The 19,796-nt window shown below is 48.4% G+C and overlaps 1 protein-coding gene and 1 long non-coding RNA gene across 24 annotated transcripts in view, besides 2 other annotated features; one reads left to right on the top strand and one right to left on the bottom strand.

The window, feature by feature from the left end:
* IKZF4 (IKAROS family zinc finger 4) overlaps positions 1-19,061 on the bottom strand; it is a 30,932-nt gene extending 11,871 nt beyond the window's left edge. Inside the window, exons 1-7 of one of the 23 annotated variants that reach the window (XM_017019806.2) lie at positions 18,831-19,061; positions 14,828-15,148; positions 8,388-8,439; positions 7,150-7,247; positions 4,985-5,134; positions 2,801-2,894; positions 1,407-1,511 (exon numbers count right to left, since the gene is read on the bottom strand). In XM_017019806.2, the coding sequence (XP_016875295.1) occupies positions 1,407-1,511; positions 2,801-2,894; positions 4,985-5,071 (286 nt within the window). In that variant the 5' untranslated portion in view covers positions 5,072-5,134; positions 7,150-7,247; positions 8,388-8,439; positions 14,828-15,148; positions 18,831-19,061. Of the gene's footprint in view, positions 1-1,406; positions 3,484-4,984; positions 5,661-7,149; positions 7,248-8,387; positions 8,443-14,827 lie in introns of those variants that run through there. The other 22 variants (NM_001351089.2, XM_017019810.2, XM_047429341.1 and 19 more) reach the window with 22 other exon arrangements.
* Positions 1,474-16,473, top strand: LOC105369781 (uncharacterized). The gene is made up of 3 exons (NR_135023.1): positions 1,474-1,536; positions 14,887-15,026; positions 16,294-16,473. It is a non-coding gene; the product is annotated as an uncharacterized LOC105369781 (long non-coding RNA).
* Positions 18,578-18,937: a silencer, noted in NCBI's record as "silent region_4542". NCBI's record gives its function as "represses an Ori minimal core promoter by ATAC-STARR-seq in GM12878 lymphoblastoid cells {active_cell/tissue: GM12878}" and the evidence as "EXISTENCE:reporter gene assay evidence [ECO:0000049][PMID:35858748]".
* Positions 18,958-19,077: a silencer, noted in NCBI's record as "silent region_4541". NCBI's record gives its function as "represses an Ori minimal core promoter by ATAC-STARR-seq in GM12878 lymphoblastoid cells {active_cell/tissue: GM12878}" and the evidence as "EXISTENCE:reporter gene assay evidence [ECO:0000049][PMID:35858748]".

Below are 19,796 nucleotides of genomic sequence, written 5' to 3'. Positions count from 1 at the left end.
GGCATGTACCATCACACCCAGCTAATTTGGTATTTTTAGAACAGACAGGGTTTCTCCATGTTGGTCAGGATGGTCTCGAACTTCCAACCTCAGGTGATCTGCCTGCCTTGGCCTCCCAAAGTGCTGGGATTACAGGTGTGAGCCACTGCGCCTGGCCCAGAATGGCACTCTTAAAGTTTAAGAGGGTGTCTTTAGGCCCTGAGACATTCAAGCCTTAAATGGAACTAACACCCTAGTATCCCTGCTGCTGATATCAGAATCCTACTGGAACCTGAGACAACCTTTTCTCCCACCCACCAGGCAAATAGGCTTCAAGAGAAAAAAGTTGGGCCGGGTGTGGTGGCTCACGCCTGTAATCCCAGCAATTTGGGAGGCCAAGGCGGGTGGATTCTTTTGAGGTCAGGAGTTTGAGACCAGCCTGGCCAACATGGTGAAACCCTGTCTTTACTAAAAATACAAAAATTAGCTGGGCATGGTGGTGTACGCCTGTAATCCCAGCTACTTCGGAGGCTGAGGCAGGAGAATCGCTTGAACTTGGGAGGCGGAGGTTGCAGTGAGCTGAGATCACGCCACTGCAGTCCAGCCTGGGCGACAGAGCAAGACTCCATCTCAAAAAGAAAAAAGTTGGGGGTACATAGGATGTCTTCTGTCGCTGAGGAGAGGAGGCGACTAAGGGGAGCTTTTTTCTCTACTCTCTTGTCATGAAGAAAGATGTCTGGCTTGGCCCTGGGCAGGAAGCCAGCAAGTTAACAGTGGCGGGAAAACAGATCTAGGAAGACTGAAGGGGGACAACAGGCCAAAGAGAGCAAACCTGGAAGACAGACATGCTTACAGTTCCCTCCCACCTCATTAGATTGAATCCCTCTACCCCCTCCACCTCCATAAAACTCTGAGGCAGGGCAGGAGGGGTAAAGGAAGGAGGAACCATTGAGGAGAAGGCTTTGGCTCTAGCTCCGACCTACATTCCTGGCTACTCCAACCATTTAGAGAATGTCACAGATCTAGGGCCAGCTGGGGAGAGGCAGTCATGGGGACCCTGTCTGGGTAGGAGAATGAGCTGTGGGGAGATGGGGAGGTCCTTCTACTCTCTATTTCCTATCTAACTCCATCTGATGACCATTTCTATCTACCTGCTTCTCTAATTCCATAATTTCTCTTTGAAACTTTTACCTTAATCCCACCCATACCTCTTTTAATTCCACCCTAGTCTGCCAGTGACTGACTATTCACTCTCCTTTCAGAAGCCAGAAAAACCCTAGACACTGGGCTCCTCATTGCTCTTAGAGACTAAGCAGGAGACCAGCAGGAGGTGACGATGGGGAAATGGTTGCCAGTGGAAGGTGAATTGAAGGCCAAATGCAACAGGGGGTGCCTACTGCCAGGAGGTGGTAGGAGGTTACACTTACCACTGAGTGAGCGGCTAGGAGAAGAGTGCTGGCTGTTGGGGGTGCTCACCGAGGGCCCCACTGGGGCCCCGAGGAACTCCTTCTCCAGAGATGAGTCCCCGCTACCTTGGAGGAGAGAACAAGAGGGCAGGTAAAGCTGGAGCTGGAGATATCTACTGTCCATTGCCTAATCTTTTAAAAAAATTCAGTTAAATTTCACAAACATTTCCTTCATAGCCATGTACAAAGCAGTGTTGTATGCTGGGCACCATACCTTGTGCCCCCGCCAGTCTGGATGCCTGGTGCTGCCTTCTGTGAGCTCAGTGGCTGGGCCTTGCCTACCCTACCTTTATCTAGGCCTGAGGGCAAGAGCATCACTGCCTGACGTCCACAGGAAGCAGGGCTGAGGCTGGGTGCGCCAGGGCGGAGAGGAAAATGGGGGCTGCAGAAGGGACAGATGTTCAGGACAGACATTCTTCCCTACTGTTCCTCTCTGGAGCCCCCAGCCGGTTCAGGATCTGCAGGAAAGGTAACTGGAATTGTCCTTGAATCTAATGATAATATTAGTAATCATCATAGCAGCTAATAATATTAATTGAGTACTTACTATGTGCCAGGCTTTATTCTGTGCACTTGAAATGAATAATTTCATTTAATCCTCACAACAACTATATGAAGTAGGTGCTAATATCATGATTTTTTCAGATGAGGCAACTGAGGTACAAAAGAGGTTATGTTAGTTGTCTAAGGTTACATAGCTGCTAGTGTGGAACTGGGATCATAGACAGTAAGCGTCCATGTCCTTAACCAGCACCTACACAGCCAATTGGTGGTCACAATCTTAGTAGGGAAGAATTGGGCCTCTTAGACTTTCTAAATTCAGCAAAAATTTGATTACTCTAGAAAGTCTCCTACTGATCTGATTCCAATCACGTGTTTACTATTTGATATTCATTGACAGTTAAGTGATCAACTTATTCTCAGTATATTTGTTTTAATTTTCTGATAAATTGCTTTGTAAAAATGCTTTTTGAGGCTTTCATAATGTTTTTCAAAATCAGATAACATACCTAAAGGAAGATATGAATGTCTTTTTTAAAAAAATCCCTCCTCCCCACAATCTTCTACACAAATATATAGGTGAAATAAAAATACATGTAGATAAACACACACAGAGACACAACACATATGTAGATACATATAAAGAGAACATACCTATTGGGATAAACATACTGGTAGCCTTCTACATTATCTGCTAACATGAACATGCATGGATGTGTGCACACAGGCCTAAATATGGAAGAGAGAAAGAGAAAGCAAGGGAGAGTGCAAGAAAGAGAGAGGAAGCCTAAAATTCATCCCTGAAGTCCACCTATTAGTACTTTACCCAATTGCCCAGCTATGCACATACTTACTTTCACAAAATAAAGATTCCATTATAAAATGGTTGGAGTCTTGGGCCTGAGGCAAGAAATCCGGAACACACCCTCCTGAGGGATCCCTCTCCAGCTTTGGTCAGTGGGAAGAAAACAACCACTCAGGACTTTGGGACCATTTCCCATTCATATCCTCTCCTAAAGTCCCATTTTCCCCATTCTATCCCGTCAAAGCCTGAGGAAAAATGTTCACTATCTATAGAAAAAGCCTTATGGCTTGAATCTGAGTTTTCCCAGCTGGGGCTTTTTAGGTGAGCCATGGTTACCTAAAAATGTTGCCCGAAATCAGAACCACACACATATCATGAAGTGAGCATCTCAGGATTGTGGGTTGAGACTTGTAGACTCAGAGCCAGTTTTAAATATATCCTTTCAACTAAGTGTAGGGTTTACTAGGGTTAAAAGGGCTGAAAATGTTATCTTCTTATTCCCTTTATTAGTGCTGAATTGCCCTAAATCACTTGATGTTACTATCAGGGAAGAACAGGGCACTTGGCTTTGAGGCCTTGACCCTAAAAGGATGAGTGAACTTGTTGGAAATCCATCACTGGTCCCAGCTTATTCGGCTGAGGCTGCCTCTTGAGGCCAGCGACTTGCTATGTGGAGGAAAATATATTTAAAAGTACACTTAGAAACACTGAGGGCGGCCGGGCGCGGTGGCTCACGCCTGTAATCCCAGCACTTTGGGAGGCCGAGGCGGGCGGATCACGAGGTCAGGAGATCGAGACCATCCTGGCTAACACGGTGAAACCCCGTCTCTACTAAAAATACAAAAAATTATCCGGGCATGGTAGCGGGCGCCTGTAGTCCCAGCTACTCGGGAGGCTGAGGCAGGAGAATGGCGTGAACCTGGGAGGCGGAGCTTGCAGTGAGCCGAGATCGCGCCACTGCACTCCAGCCTGGGCGACAGAGCGAGACTCCGTCTCAAAAAAAAAAAAAAAAAAAAGAAACACTGAGGGAAAAGCATCCTTTGTGGCTTTCCCAATTAAGGCCCAGAAACAGGAAGAGAAGCAGGAGTCACACCAGTAATTCAAGAGGCTCTTTGATGCTGTTGCCCTCCCTAAGATTAAGGTAAGGGGAAAAACAGGATCAAGTCTACTTTCATGGGGCTAAAATATATGTATAATGAATCTGTTTCAGGAGTCAGAAAGGCTTTCTTGGGCACCAAGGATTTTGAATTCTAGCTCAGGGGTGAGGGGACTAGAGTAAGATTTAGGAAGTTTAACAGTTCCTCTCTCAGCCCCAGAAACCCCAGTGAGGGAATCTCAAAAGTCTGGGACTCCCAAGAAATCCCAGACTGTCAAAGCCAAGAATTAAGGCTGCTCTTAGGTCTCTGAGAAATTTTCTTGCTCAAAGTCATCATAGATTGGCTGAACCCCCAGAGGGCAAAGCCAAATCATGAGGTTCACATTAGAGGAACTGGGAGGTAGGTAAAGGCTGAAAAGCAGGAGGGAGAGAAAGGAACTGGGAAACAGGCCACAAGCTAAAGGTGTTTCATATGTTAAAGGAGGCTAGCCTCCACTCCTGCTGCCTTTCCTTGAGACCTTTAAATAGTGGCTACATCTAGGGAATAGCCATGAGCTTGGAGAACATGGAGAACCTCCACACTTCTCTGCAAGGCACCTCATCATAACTGCTTTCCCTTTCTTGACCACGGGCTCCAGGGTGGCAGGATCCTAGCCTGCTAGCAGGGAATAGTGGGTACAAGAGCAAAGAAAGACGCCCATCCTCAGCTCTTTTGTGGGGAGGAAGCTGAGGCCCCTCAGATCTCTGTTCCAGGCTGAGGCATCTGCTTGCCAAGGCTCCTCTTCCTTACCTTGATTTTCTCCACTACCCCTTCCCACCCAGGCCTGTCTCGGCATTTCACCCCAGGCAGCTCTACCTCTATCCCCAAGGCCTAATCAAGATGTCACCATAGGCTCCCACTGTCCAAGTCGCCGTCTTTGCTTAGCAACACCAAACACCCTTTCCCATCCTCCGCAAGTATAAGGAGGAACGCCCCCTCCCCCGCTACACACACACACACACACACACACACACACACACACACACACAGCCCCCATCCTCTCCATCTCCTCAGGCTTGGGAGTAGTTACTGAATTGGCTCCCTAGCCCCAGCACCCCCCTTCCTCCCTCCACTAGCCGCCTTCTGCCTGAACTTACATTATCCTTCCCTTGCCGGTGAGACCCTGGGGTGCGAACGCGGCCGCCGCCTTGGAAACGGCGAGGGAGTGCGGGTGGTGTATGCATGTCTGCGTCTCAGTGGCAGGCAGGGGTGAGCCCAGCCACTCACCTTCCAGGAAGCGTGGATTCCTGGAAGTGAGGGGAACCGCCGTCATTTCGCAGGCAGCAGCAGCGGCACGGTGAGCAGAGGCCCACGGCTGCAGCCAGCAAGAGCAGCTCAGCCCAGGGTGTATGTGTGTTGAGTGTGTGTGTGTGTGTGTGTGTGAGAGAGAGAGAGAGAGAGAGGGAGAGAAGGAGAGGGGAGAGCACGCTTGGATGTGCTTGGGGAGGGGGCTGGAGAGAATGTATATGTGTATATAGTGGGGGAGATGCTAGGCTACAGCATCCCTTTTCCAAGACAGTGAAGGGGGTGGGTGGTGGGTGTGTGCACAGGGAGGGAAAGGCAGATGCTGTTGCCCCTCGTGCCCAGCAGACAAAGAGGAACTGCACAACAAATGCCTGAGAGAGGCAAGAGTGTGTGCAAGAGAGAGAGAGAGAGATGGATGGGCCTGCGGGTGGGAGGGAGAAAGGGGGGGCCCTAGGGAAGGCCCAATCCTCTGCCAGCTGGGGAAGCCAAGGCCCCAGAGGTCATGGGGCCCAGGACACGGACAGCTTCAAGGCTCTCAGAGAGGCAGAAAGCCCCTCCCCCACCGAACTCTTTCCCTCCTCCTCCAGGAGGAAGGTTGCTCTCTAGATGTGGGGACTGACAGCCTCCTCCTTTCCAGCAGTGAGAGGGCCCAGCAGAGTCTGGTGTCAGGCTAGTGTTGCTCCGTGGCCCTGAGACCTTTCAGATCCCGGGCAAAAAGGCTGGTACGGTCTCCCCATTTCCCCCCCTTCCTGTGCCCCTGGGGCCCCAGCAGCCGAAAGCCCTGGATGAATCCGCCCTCTATCAGGACAAGGCCTCTGCTCCCTTCCCTTTCAGAGGAGCTGCTCACTGACAAACTGACCTACTTTGGAAGACTACATTTTCTGATTCCAAGAATTTGGGGGTGGGAGGGGCTGTGAAACTTCGGGCTGCCTACCCCTGAATCCCTTTCTACTAAAGTTCTCTAAAACATTTCACAGTCTCAGAAAACTTGGGGCAAGCCCTGCTCAGTCAATTAATGGCAGGAGCTGGGTTTCAGCAACTCTGTTTCCCTTGAAAGATAGGAAAATGGAGGGGGTGGTTATCTGTGCCATAAATTAATAGACTCCTGCTTATCTCCCCCTTTTCCCTGCCCCAGAAGGGAATGATCTGTACCTTTAAAAAGAGAAAAGGGGAGAAAAGATGGATTTTCTGAATCACATTCTGTGAGGAATTCAAATCTCTTGGAAGAACAGGAGAGATACCCTTTTCATCAAGTGGCCTGATGAGGGAAGGTCACCTGGCGTGGAGCAGAAGAACTATGATGGCCTGTGGAGGCCCGCAGTGTGCTTCGGGAGGGCTGCATGCTGCAGCCTTTCCCTCTGCTTCCATATGACTCTTCCAGGAGAGATGGGTCAGTGATGAGCGCAGCTATGCCCAGTCCTAAGAGGGGTACTTTTCAGGGCTAATGGTAGCCTTACTTTGACTTTCTCTTTTCCCTTTCTAAGGTAGCTGCTGACATCTAAAATTCTCAAAGTACAGAGGAGGAGTTCCTGGCCTCCACTTCCATTCAAAAACCATCCTGTGCAGAGGCCACTTCTTATCTAGGACATGCCAATCTGCTGAAAGCAGGGAAAACTTGGTTTCATAGCACGGTGAAGCAAATCACCTCCATGAGTATCCAATATTCTCCATAAACAGGTTTGAAAAGAGCTCCACAGGATTTGTAGTTTCTCATTTGCCTGCTTTATGGTAGGGACTGGATTTTATCCATCTGAGTGTTCCCCAGCACTAAAGCAGGGTCCCAAGTGTACTTGTTGCTCAGTAGTGGTTTTCTGAATAGGCTTAACTGAGCAGGAGGTAGGAGGACTGGCTCGCTCCTCACAAGGCCATGACTTTTGTTCTAATAAAGTCTCTTCCAATTAAATGAGTCTACCTGATCCCTGTCATTCTGTCAAGCATGTGGCAGATATTGAATGCCTTTACCCATTCCAACTCCTTCCCTCCTTAAACAAGAAAGGGGTCAGAGTCAACATCTTACCTTACATTACCCGGGTGTTGCCAATGACTCTCATATGTGTGTCTGACCCATCTTGCTATCTCCTTTAGTGCATGCCAATAATTCCTTCATTGGTCCTACTTTAGAGTAAAAAATAAGCTATAGGTCATTTCCAAAATGGTGCTTGGGTTTCTGATAGGGATACTCATCACATCAAAACCCAGTTTTGGTTTCTATTATTTCTTTTTTTTTGAGACGGAGTCTCACTCTGTCGCCAGGCTGGAGTGCAGTGGCGTGATCTCAGCTCACTGCAACCTCCGCCTCCTGGGTTCTCCTGCCTCAGCCTCCTGAGAAGTTGGGACTACAGGCGTGAGCCACCACGCCCAGATAATTTTTGTATTTTTAGTAGATATGAGGCTTCACCATGTTGGCCAGGATGGTCCTGATCTCTTGACTTCGTGATCTGCCCACCTCGGCCTCCCAAAGTGCTGGGATTACAGGCGTGAGCCACGTGCCTGGCCTAATTTTTGTATTTTTAGTAGAGAGGGGGTTTCACCATGTTGCCCAGGCTGGTCTCGAACTCCTGACCTCAGGTGATCTGCCTGTCTCCCAAAGTGCTGGGATTACAGGCGTGAGCCACCATGCCCAGCCTTGAGTCATTATTTTAAAATGGAGACATTTCATATAAAAATTTGGATTTCTGGTATCTCTTAAAAATTTAGAAGTTTTGGCCACACTAGATACACATTCCTGCATGACAAGTTCTAGTGGACACTGAAAGCTGCTGTCCCTTTAAGTGGGACATATGTTCTCCACTTCATGACAGCCCCCACCATTCTTTTCTGCTTATTATCCTAACCTTACTTCACTCATTCACATGACTACCTGGCCCTTGCAGGCCTTTGAGCTTTGAAACCTTGTGCCGCTCTATCTGGATAGAACAGGATTTCATGTTTGGCTGGTGACTTCAGAGCAAAGGAGAAGGAACCACATCTTGTTTCCATCTATTTGCTTCAAATTATTCTTCTAATGATGTCTGCTCATATTCCCCTCCTATTCCCTTCCTCTATACCCCAAGAAGTCTGGAAAAGAAAATTACTATTTAGGGAATGTAAGATCACCAAAATAATTGCACACTACCAAGGGCCACCAAGCATGAGTGTTAGCTGTGTGACTAGGACATTTAGAGGCTGTGTGCCTAGGCTGAAGGCTCTCTGCTCTGCTCTACAGGAGAGTGTCTGCTTCCAGCCCCTAACAAATAGAACACACAGAAGGCATACCAGACACATAGGAGCGGCCATTGCAGTCTTCTATGTCCATTTTAAAGAGATTCTGCTGAAAAAGAAAATAGCTGCTATTAGAAGATAGCTCTGGGAAGGGAGGAGGCTTTTCTTTAATATTCTTGAGTTAGCAAGAAACCTAAAGGAGCACTTAAGCATGGTCTGATACTATCCTAAAGAAGAAAAACCTTAGCCAGGCACTGTGGCTCAACACCTGTAATCCTAGTGCTTTGGAAAGAAGGTGGGAGGATCACTCGAGCCCAGGAGTTTGAGACCAGCCTGGGCAATATAGGGAGATCCCATCTCTACAAAATATAAAAATAAATTAGGCATCGTGGCATGTGCCTGTAGTCCCAGCTATTCAGGAGGCTGAGGTGGGAGGATCACTTGAGCCTGGAGGTCGAGGCTGCAGTGAGCTGTGATCTTACCACTGCACTCCAGCCTGGGTAACCGAGCGAGACCCTGTCTCCAAGAAAAACCTTACACTTTGTCCTGGTGAAAGACAACATACCCTGATTTACAAACCCCAATATTTCCTCCAATTTACAACTTCTGCAGGCCTCCCCAGCCTCTGAGGTGGAAACACTATCTTAATCCAGAGTGGTCCTTGATTTTGAGATTAGACCGTGTATGTAGGTGGAGATTACACCTCAGCCCTGAGGAGGCAAAGAAACAGCCCCTTAGAGGCTCTATACCTCAGTTAAAGATGGGGGTAGTATTAAGAAGCTGGGTTCAGTCATTCAAGGGATTCTGTCTTGGAGTATGTGGTGTGAGGGAGGGTGACAGGAAAAGGAGAAGATGGAGGAGAGCAGCCCACTCAGGGTTCAGTGATAAGTCCTCTACTGAAGGTGTAATAAACAAGTTAAACCTGTAAATGGTTATCCCCACCCTCTCATCAATTACTCTACCACGCTTATTTTAAAAAAGAAAAAAGGACGGGGGGGGCGGGGGGGGAGTCTGAATTTAAAATGAAGGTTAATGTCTATTTGAGGGAAGGCAAGCAGTAATTGGCAGTAGAGTATTAAACAATCGGGAACTGAGAACACTTAAAAGTGATAATTTGTTGCAATGAATTATCTCTTTAGGAGCCTGTGGGAGGAGAGAAAAAAAAAATCTATCTGGTGGAAATTTACATACCTCCAAAATTGCGGCTGGCATGGTGGCTCACACCTGTAATTCCAGCACTTTGGGAGGCTGAGGTGGGTGGATCATTTGAAATCAGGAGTTCAAGACCAGCCTGGCCAACATGGTGAAACCCCGTCTCCACTAAAAATACAAAATTATGACTGGGCACACTGGTTCACACCTGTAATCCCAGTACTCTGGGAGGCCGAGGCGGGCGGATCACCTCAGGTCAGGAGTTCAGCCTGACCAACATGGAGAAACCCCATCTCTACTAAAAATACAAAAAAAATTAGCCAGGCATGGTGGCGCATGCCTGTAATCCCAGCTACTAGGGAGGCTGAGGCAGGAGAATCACCTGAACCCAGGAGGCGGAGGTTGCGGTGACCCAAGATCACGCCGTTGCACTCCAGCCTGGGCAACAAGAGCGAAACTCCGTCTCTTAAAAAAACAAAACAAAACAAAATTAGCTGGGCGGTAGTGGCATGAGCCTGTAATCCCAGGTACTTGGGAGGCTGAGGCAGGAGAATCGCTTGAGCCTGGGAGGTGGAGGTTGCGGTGCACCGAGATCCTGCCACTGCACTCCAGCCTGGGCGACAGAGTGAGACCCGGTCACAAAAAAAAAAAAAAAGAAAAGAAAAAAAAAGAAAATTGCATTCCCCACTCATCTGATGAAAACTAAACGCCCTGAGGCAGAGGCAGAAGCAAGAATGGGGCAAGGGAACAGTCTGAGCTGCTGTGGGGATTCTTGGTCTTTTTGAAGGATCTCACTGAGGCAGATGGATAAAGATTTGGTTTGCTTGTAATGGTATATTGAGAGAGGTAGGGGTGGGGGTGAGGGGGTGCAGGAAGGCACACAGAGTAAAGTATCTGTTTTCCTGCCCCCCCACCCCCACCCAATTCTTGTCTGGAGTTGAGACTCCTTTTGAAGGCTCATGAGAAAACCTGAAACATGCGCTTACCTTCACTTCACAAAGCAATTCTCTCTTACATTTTGTCAGAGAGATTCCTAGTATCAACCCTATTTCCCTAGGAAGCCAGGGCATGGAGAAAAAAATTCTCTAAGTTTATTAACCCTCTTTTCTTGACATCCTTCCTGGGATGGACTGAACTTTGGGACTGGACCACTAGAACAAGCCACACAATAAGTGGTTCCTTGAAGGGTCCCTTAGGAACAATCATTAGAAGAGCCCAAGTCCACAGTTGTTAGAGAACTCAGACTCTCTGGAACTAGCCACAAAACTTGAGATAGAGATCAAAAGATAAAGGAGGGCAGTCTGGTATTGAGGGGCCCTTTCATTTCCAAATCATTAGATTCACAATTGCCCTTTGGTGTTTTTCAAAATGAATGGAAAGCTCAGGCTGGGTTTGGTGGCTCAGGCCTGTAATCTCAGCTCTTTGAGAGGGCGAGGTGGGTGGATCACCTGAGGTCAGGAGTTCGAGACCAGCCTAGCCAACGTGGTGAAACCCCATCTCTACTAAAAATACAAAAAAATTAGCTGGGTGTGGTGGTACACACCTATAATCCCATCTACTCGGGAGGCTGAGGCAGAATTGCTTGAACCGGGGAGGTGTAGGTTGCAGTGAGCGGAGATCACGCCACTGCACTCCAGCCAGGTCAACAAAGGGAAACTCCATTTCAAAGAAAAAAAAAGAATGCAAAGTTCAAAGTGCCACTTGAAGCCGGGCGTGGTAGCTCACGCCTGTAATTCCAGCACTTTGGGAGGCGGAGGCGGGCGGATCACGAGGTCAGGAGTTTGAGACCAGCCTGGCCAACATGGCAAAACCCCATCTCTACTAAAAATACAAAAATTAGCCGGGCGTGGTGGGGTGCGCCCGTAATCCCAGCTACTCAGGAGGCTGAGGCAGGATAATTGCTTGAACCCGGGAGACAGAGGTTGCAGTGAGCCGAGATCGTGCCATTGCACTCCAGCCTGGGCGACAAGAGCAAGACTCTGTCTCAAACAAAACAAAACAAGCCCACAAAGTGCCACTTGAAACTTCCCTCACACACCTCCCCATGCAGGAGAGGCAAGAGTGAGCAGGATTTTCCTGTTTTCTGCTTGGAGAAACTGAGAGAAACTGAGGCTGAGAGCAGTGAAGTTACTTGTCCCAAGGTTCATGGTGAGAATAGAACAAGAACAAGAACACAAGTTGCCTGCCTCTCTGAGGTGTCCTCTTTCTATTAAACCTTTCAAAAGCCAGGCTACTCAAGGCCTTCATGGGTTTTCTTGCTTTTCCCTGTTTTTTTTGTTTTTGTTTTTGTTTTTTTTTTTGAGACGGAGTCTCGCTGTGTTGCCCAGGCTGGAGTGCAGTGGCATGAGTTTGGCTCCCGGGTTCAAGCAGTTCTCCTGGCTCAGCCTTCTGAGTAGCCAGGACTACTGGCATGGACCACCACACTCGGCTTTTTCCCTGGTTCTAACATCAGGTAAGTCATCTTTTCCTTTGGTGTGATCCCTGTGGGAGTGGGGTCTGTTACTTAAAAAGGAAGAACAAGTCGAGCTGGCTCTACAGGAAGAAATATGCTCATATTATTTTGTGTGTGTGTGTGTGTTTGTGTGCATGCAGCATGCCTAATGCCTGTGTGAATGAAGGGCTAGACAAGCACTAGGTGGGTAGAACAGGTGAAGCATACCATTCAGCTAGCACTGGCTCAGGAAGTGTATCTCATTCTTGGACTTTTGCCCAGATGGCCCCAAAACAATTTCCAGAAAGGTCTGAAGGAGTTGTTTTCTGAGCTGGACTTTCTTTCTAACAGTAAACTGAGCTTTCCTGCTTAATTGCTCTTAACGTGCTCTGTGACACATCTTGGGCAAAATCAGTACTTAGCTGTACTTAGCTGCCTCCAGCTGGGGGTTTTTGTTTGTTTGTTTCTTTTCTTTTCTTTTTTTTTTTTTTTTGAGACGGAGTCTCGATCTGTCACTCAGGCTGGAGTGCAGTGGCACGATCTCATCTCAGCTCACTGCAACCTCTGCATCCCGGGTTCAAGTGATTCTCCTGCCTAAGCCTCCTGAATAGCTAGGATTACAGGCGTGCGCCACCACACCCAGCTAATTTTTGTATTTTTAGTAGAGACAGGGTTTTGCCATGTTGGCCAGGCTGTTCTCGAACTCCTGACCTCAGGTAATCTGCCCGCCTCGGCCTCCCAAAGTGTTGGGATTACAGGCGTGAGCCACTGCTCCCGGCTCTCCAGCTGGTTTTAATACCAAGTTGGTAACCCTGGAAGTGAGAGGGCATTGGATTGAAACTGCTGTTCTCAGTCCTGGTTTTCTGTGCAAACCAGGAGCAAATCAGCAGATGTACTTTACTCTTTGCTCAAGTCTCCCTGCAGCACATCCCGCCCAGCCTTCCCACTCTCTACCCCTTAAAGCACCTCCTCCCCTGCCTAACCAGCCAGGCAGATCTTAGCGTCTCCTTAGAGGAACTGGGTCAAATTAGGCACTGCCAATTGGAGACACATTGCAGGAGGAGGAGGTATAAGGAGAGGGAAGTTAGTTACATGAGACAGTTTTGTATCAAAGATCTTGGAAGGAGATTAGCTTTAAAGCAACATAACTGTCGGCTGGGGGCGGTGGCTCACACCTGTAATCCCAGCACTCTGGGAGGCTGAGGCAAGCAGATCACTTGAAGTCAGGAGTTCAAGATCAGCTTGGCCAACGTGGCGAAACCCCATCTCTACTAAAAATACAAAAATTAGCTGGGCTTGGTGGTACATGCCTGTAGTCCTAGCTGCTTGGGAGGCTGAGGCATAAGAATCGTTTGAACCCCGGAGGCAGAGGTTGGAGTGAGCCGAGATCACGCCATTGCACTCCAGCCTGGGTGACAGAGTGAGACTCTGTCACTAAATAAATAAATAAAGCAACATAACCGTCACTCAGTGATGGCGGGTAGGCACATATGTACTGTAAATTCAGCTGTGAGCTGAATACAAAGCAACTAGAAACAATCAGTGTTCCAATTCAAAAGGAATATCTCTGTGAGGAGGGAGGAAACGCTGGTCATTGTAATCTCTGGAGACACAAATTTTCTTCCCTGTTCTTATTTATTTATTATATTTACTAGAGATGAGATCTCACTATGTTGTCTGGGCTGGAGTGCAGTGGCTGTTCATGGGCACAATCACAGCACACTACAGCCTCAAACTCTTGGCCTCAAGCAATCCTCCTTCCTCAGCCTAATGAGTAGTTGGGACTACAGGTGCATGTGCCACTGTGCCTAGCTCTTCCCCATTTGTTTGAATCCACTTGGCATAAACAAGAGTCCTCCATGGCCCTGGCTTTCTCCTATCAACATTACAACACATTTGAACAGGAATGGGCATCCTTTCTAGACAGAAGATTTCCCACCAGGCTCCCTGACAGGCAGCAGTGAGGGCCAATCCCAGCAGTTTGGGAGGCCAAGGCAAGAGGACTGCTTGAGGCCAGGAGTTCTAGGCCAGCCTGGGCAACACACTGAGACACTAAAAAAAAAAAAAAGTAATTTAGGCCAGGTGTGGTGGCTCACGCCTGTAATCCCAGCACTTTGGGAGGCCAAGGTGGGTGGATCACCTGAGGTCAGGAGTTCGAGACCAGCCTGACCAAATGGAGAAACCCCATCTCTACGAAGAATACAAAATTAGCCAGGGGTGGTGGTTCATGCCTGTAATCCCAGCTACTCAGGAGGCTGAGGCAGGAGAATCGCTTGAACCCAGGAGGCGGAGGTTGCAGTGAGCCGAGATCGGGCCATTGCACTCCAGACTGGGCAACAAGAACAAAACTCCGTCTCAAAAAAAAAAAAAAAAAAAGTCATTTAACACATGCTTAATGTGGCCTAGGGGGTAAAAGGTCATGAGAAGAATATTGTTGGGAAAGATGGTGAAGGTAGAGAGAATGGCAAGGATCCATACCATGTTTTTGTTATTATTCCCAAACTATAACAGGCAGAAGTAGAAAAATTTTCTCCACTTTCCCTTAGTACCTGGGTTCTGCGGTGGAGAGCAGTAGTTATTAACAAGACAGAACTTCCCATGTGCCTTGGGTATGAGCCATTCAGGTGCTACAAGTAGAGCAAACCCACAGCATCATCCTCTACTGTCTATGCCTTCCTGAACTGAGTGAAATCTGAGCAAAAATATGTTGAAATCACATAGCTGGCTCTGCTCTCTATCAAAGCTTTGCATAATTGAGGAGGGAGAAGACGCAAAGGGGCCAGGGAAAGGTATGGAATTAGCCACTGTCTGCAAGCCCCTTTCCAGGAAAAAGACCTAGACATCAAGCAATTTGCAGCTCTGAAATTATCTTTAGGGTCAACCTAGTGCTCTCTGAAGGAAACCCACCAACCTTAGCTCAGCTCATGTGTTTGTCTTTACAGTGGAAAGGTCTGACTCATTTTTCACCAGGCTGTAGATGGTGACCTTCTGTCTACATATAATACAGTTGAAGACAGCTCAGCTTCATTATCCAAGTGCTTGGGGAGCAGTGCAGAGGGGATAAATTCCCAGGTCATCCTAGGAATGGCCAGTCTCTAAAATAAAAAGGGGTAAGAGCTGAAAACACAACACCTGGGCAGGGGGAAAATATCACCTCATTGTCTCCTTTTAGATCTCAGATGGATGCATCTTTTCTCTTGTTCTTTGCGCTTCTCTGTCCTCCCCATGTAGACTGCAGAAGAGAGAGAAGGCTAAGGTTTATGAGTGGGAGAAGAAACGATCCTATCCCTCCCATGTCTCATTTCAGGACATAAGGAACTAAGGAAAAGGGCCAAACTAAACACTTTAAATCACTAGATATGATACATAGGAGATGATACTTTTTGGGGTTTTTGGGTGTACCCCCAAGTATAGCTCTCTGTTTATAGAAAGGCCTCACAAAATCACTGCTGTTCAGTGGTATGTTTGGCAGGGGTGGAGAAAGTAGAGCAGGGAAATTCAATTTGAGTTTTATAATAATCAGTTTTAAAGCCAAAGATGCCCAAAACAGGGTTAGCACTCTCAAGTGAAGTTTGAAATTACAGGGAAGTCTCAGTGAACTATTCTGACTAGGGTACAGTAGCAAAAAAAATGTAGAAGAGACAGGAACAATTGCCTTTGATTGCAATTGTGCCCAAAAGTCCCTAATACATGCTGATCAAAAAAGTTCACTGTTGTTTGGGCCAGAAAGATGTTTTCAGGCTTCTCTGCTAATAGTCTTGCTCTGATAATCCAATTTGGTAAGACTCTCTTCTTCATGTGGAGGGTCTAGGGCAGGGGTACTCCAGGAACTGAGAAATCCTGGAGCTGAAATGGAGTTGAGAGATTATCTACAATTTCCTAGTTTTTAACAGAAGAAACTAAGCCCAGAGTCATCAATCTCATTAACAACAGAATTAGGACATGTAGAGTCCAAGTTACCATTAGAAGATTCTTTCCACTGGAACACTATATTAAATCTTGCCCCAGTTGGAAGATTTGGGCCACCCTGCTTGCCTTCTTTCTTGGGTTATTAAATGAATGGTTTTTGGGTCTGCGTCTTGCTGACCTAAATCCTTGAACTGGAAACACAGGCTTATGGATGGGAGGATAAATAATCCTCTTCCTCCTATGTCTCTTTTCAGAGATAATGGACCTGAGGAAAACACCAAACTAGATGGTCATTAAGTCTCTAAAGTAGAAACGGCCTCTTAGCTTGAGGACTACCCCAGCATAGGTATTGCATCAGAGCCTACAATGTGGATCCTCCCCGCAGCTGGACCAGGTCATTCATATCAGCACTACCCTTTCTTAGATGCCTTTGTCTGATAAACTTTGAACCTATCTCTCTGTTTCCAGAACAGAGTCCATAACTCTTCTAAGAAGAGGAAGCAAATCAAAGCCTGGAATTCAAAGCTTTCTTCAGCAGAGTCAACAGACCAATAAAGAAAGGGAGTCCCTCTGCCTGTGGCATTGTCCACACTCACAGGGTCCCACACTCTTATTTGTTCCTACAGAGTAAAACGAGGCTAGAAATACCTATCTTTCTTTTTCTTTGGTGTGTGTGTGTGTGGCGAGAGAGAGAGAGAGACAGAGAGAGAGATGGCCAGTTGGGGAAAAAAAATAATTCCTTTGTGGATACTACTGTGTGTGGGGGGGCAGGGGGTACGGTGAAAGGTGGGATAAGTTTCTCCCATGCTGGGAAGTTCAAGCTGCAGATTTCAAACTAAGAGGACATAAAGAGACTTTCAGTTGCATTTTCACTGGAAAAAAGTCAGGACTTATTTCTGAGCCAAGTCCTGAAATATGCCTTACCCTTAACCTACTCAGAGGAAGGGGATTGCCCAGAAGCTACAATTCAACTAACTAACTGCACTCAGTGGGCAACAAAGACATTATATTTTGTGTTTGAGACATCAACTTCTATTGACTAGGGCAAGGTATAATTCTGAAGCTGCCAAAATGAGGGCAGCTCTCACCATTCTGAAGCCCACCCCAGAAGCTCCAGTGAAACTTCTCTTGCTTCCCAATGGTAAAGCTATTTTCTTCTTTTAAGATTTTATTTTTATCTCAGGAGCTACTCATCTGACTGTTCTCATGACCCAAGGGTCTGTCTGGATTCTCTGGCTTTAGGCTGTTAGTAGGGAAAGCTGAAGTCCTCCTGCAAACCATAAAGCAAGATTCACGGACCTACTGGCAGGTCCATGGGGAGGTGAGGGATTACCATACACCCCAACCAAACGAAACACTATGCTTTCAAAGATTGTCTGATTTGGCCTTTTATCTGGCCTTGTCCTCAGAATCTGAGTTATCGTTAAGTGGAAATATTCTAGGTAGTCAGATAACATTTTCATGCTTCCTTAAGGATATGAACATGTATCTTCACCCAGGCAAAGTGAGCAAGTATCAGTAAGGGGAGACAGGCTTCAATGGTCATCTGGTTGACCATGACGTTGGAACATCTAAAGCTGACATGTGAGCATGTCAGGAACATACCATGCCCACCATTGATGCTTCGAGGGCACAGGCTGGGGAGACAGGCACAGTAGGAACTATTAGACATATAAGCGAGGGTTGACAAGAGTAACAACAATAGACAGTTTTGTTCATGAGAGAAGGGAATGGGGCGAAATAAGGTATGCAAAAAATTTTCTGGCCAGGCACGGTGGCTCATGCCTGTAATCCCAGCACTTTGGGAGGCTGAGGCGGGTGGATCACCTGAGGTCAGGAGTTCAAGACCAGCCTGGCCAACATGGTGAGACCCCCATCTCTACTAAAAATACAAAAAATTAGCCAGGGGTGGTGGCGGGTGCCTGTAATCCCAGCTACTTGGGAGGCTGAGGCAGGAGAATCTCTTGAACCTGGGAGATGGAGGTTGCAGTGAGCTGAGGTCGCGCCATTGCACCCCAGCCTGGGCAACAAGAGTGAAACTCCGTCTCAAAAAAAAAAAAAAAAAAAATTTCCTGGAAGCAGAGTTCGTAACTTCTTGACCTTGGATGGGGATTGGGGTACAATATTTCATAAGCATATCGAAAGGTCCACGTTCCATTAAACACTCCACTGTTCCCAGAAAGGACTAGTCATAATTTTTTTTAAAGGCACAGAAATAATATAGAAAATTTAAAAAGTGAGAACCTACAACTCTAGCAGCCATGAGGTAAGAAAATAACGGGATGGGGTTTGTGTGAGGAGGTACAGGGAGGGCTGTTTTGGTACACAGGAGCAGGCAGCCTGCTTCCCAAGTTTGCAGCTCCCGTCTGGATGTCTGCCCTGGGGATTCCTCTGTTGCATTTCTTTCTTAGGGCTCTCAAGCAGTGAATCTCTTCTTTCCCAGCCTTGCTTCCCAAGTTCCCTACACCTCTCACCCTACACTGTGCACTTCTCACTCCATCCTAAGTTTCTTCTCTACATGTTTCTCCCAATATGCTCATTGCCTCCCAGATCTCACCTAGGCCTACGTCTTTATCCCCAGATTCCTGTCTTCAGCATTCCTCGACCCAACACCCGGGTCCCTCGCTTTTTTTGTTCAGATACCCTCTTTGCTGCTCCTTTCTCCTCGCTGTCCTTCTGCTGTATACCCAAGCCACATCCCCACGGAGGAGCCCCGCGCCTGGCAGCTCCTGCCTGTCCTCGGCCCCTTGCCTTGATCTGTCTCCCGCCTTTTTAGGACCCCCGAGTCCCTGCTACCTCGCTCTTAATACTGGGGCCTCGGGCCAAACTCCCCCGGCCATCTTCCAACCCTCCGGCCCCAGCCCAACCCGCGACCCTCTCTCAGCCTGGCCCCTTCCCCCGCCCACGTCTCCCCCCTCCTTCACGCCAGAGCCCCTCAGGCCCCGCCCCCGGCTACCGAGGCCCCGCCCCCGCTTTACCCCCACCAAGCCCCGCCCCTCACTCACCTGAGGTGTCTCCGCGCGCGCGCAGGCTGTGAGGGGTTGGGGAGAGGGGACAGTGTTGGGGGAGAGGGAGGCGAGGGGGCGGGGGTCCCCCACTCTGGCCCGGGCGGCCCAGTGCGGGGGGAGTGGGGTCACTGAGGCGGCGGCAGTCGCCGGGCCGGAGCCAGGACCCGGGCGCTCAGAGGCGGCGGTGGCGGCGGCTCCATCTCCATCAGCAGCTTCACCTGAGAAGGGACTTGCCCCCCCAAATATCCCCCCCCATCACAGCCGTCCCCCTCCCCCTAACAACTTCCGGTCCCACTACCAGGCGACAGGCGGCGTGGCCGAACACCGAGCGTCCCCAAGCCCGGGAGACTGCTGGGGGAAAATGGGAGAGGAGCTAGGGGAGAGTAGCCGAGCGCCGAAAGATTCAAATCCGAAAGGCACCATCGTCTGCCGAAGGTAACCCAAAAACTAGCCTTTAATCTGCACCCAGTTTGCAATCTAAGCACACGCTGGACGCCCGATGTGGCCTGGCACGTCAGGCCCTAGAGCCAAGTTTTCCCTCTGTACCTTGTGAATCCCAAAAATCTGAGACAGGTCTCAGTTTAGGAAGTTTTTGGCAAAACTTAATTTTGCCAAAGTTAGGGACGCACGCCCGTAACGCAGCCTCAGGAGGTCCTGACGACATGTGCCCTAGGTGACTGGAGCACAGCTTGGTGTTATACATTTTAGGGAGACAAGAGACATCAATCAATATATGTAAAGGCGGGACAACTCAAGCTGGGAGGAGGCTTCCAGGTCATAGGTAGATAAGAGGTAAATGGAGCGGGGCGCAGTGGCTCACGCCTGTAATCCCAGCACTTTGGGAGGCCGAGGCGGGCGGATCACCTGAGGTCAGGAGTTCAAGACCAGCCTGGCCAACATGGTGAAACCCCATCTCTACTAAAAATAAAAAATTAGCCGGGTGTGGTGGCCCGCGCCTGTAGT

This window comes from Homo sapiens, chromosome 12 (assembly GCF_000001405.40).
Source record: "Homo sapiens chromosome 12, GRCh38.p14 Primary Assembly".
In the NCBI taxonomy this organism is placed as follows: Eukaryota; Metazoa; Chordata; class Mammalia; order Primates; family Hominidae; genus Homo; species Homo sapiens.
The sequence above is the reverse complement of the archived record's forward strand: the minus strand, read 5'-3'. Positions and strand labels throughout refer to the sequence as shown.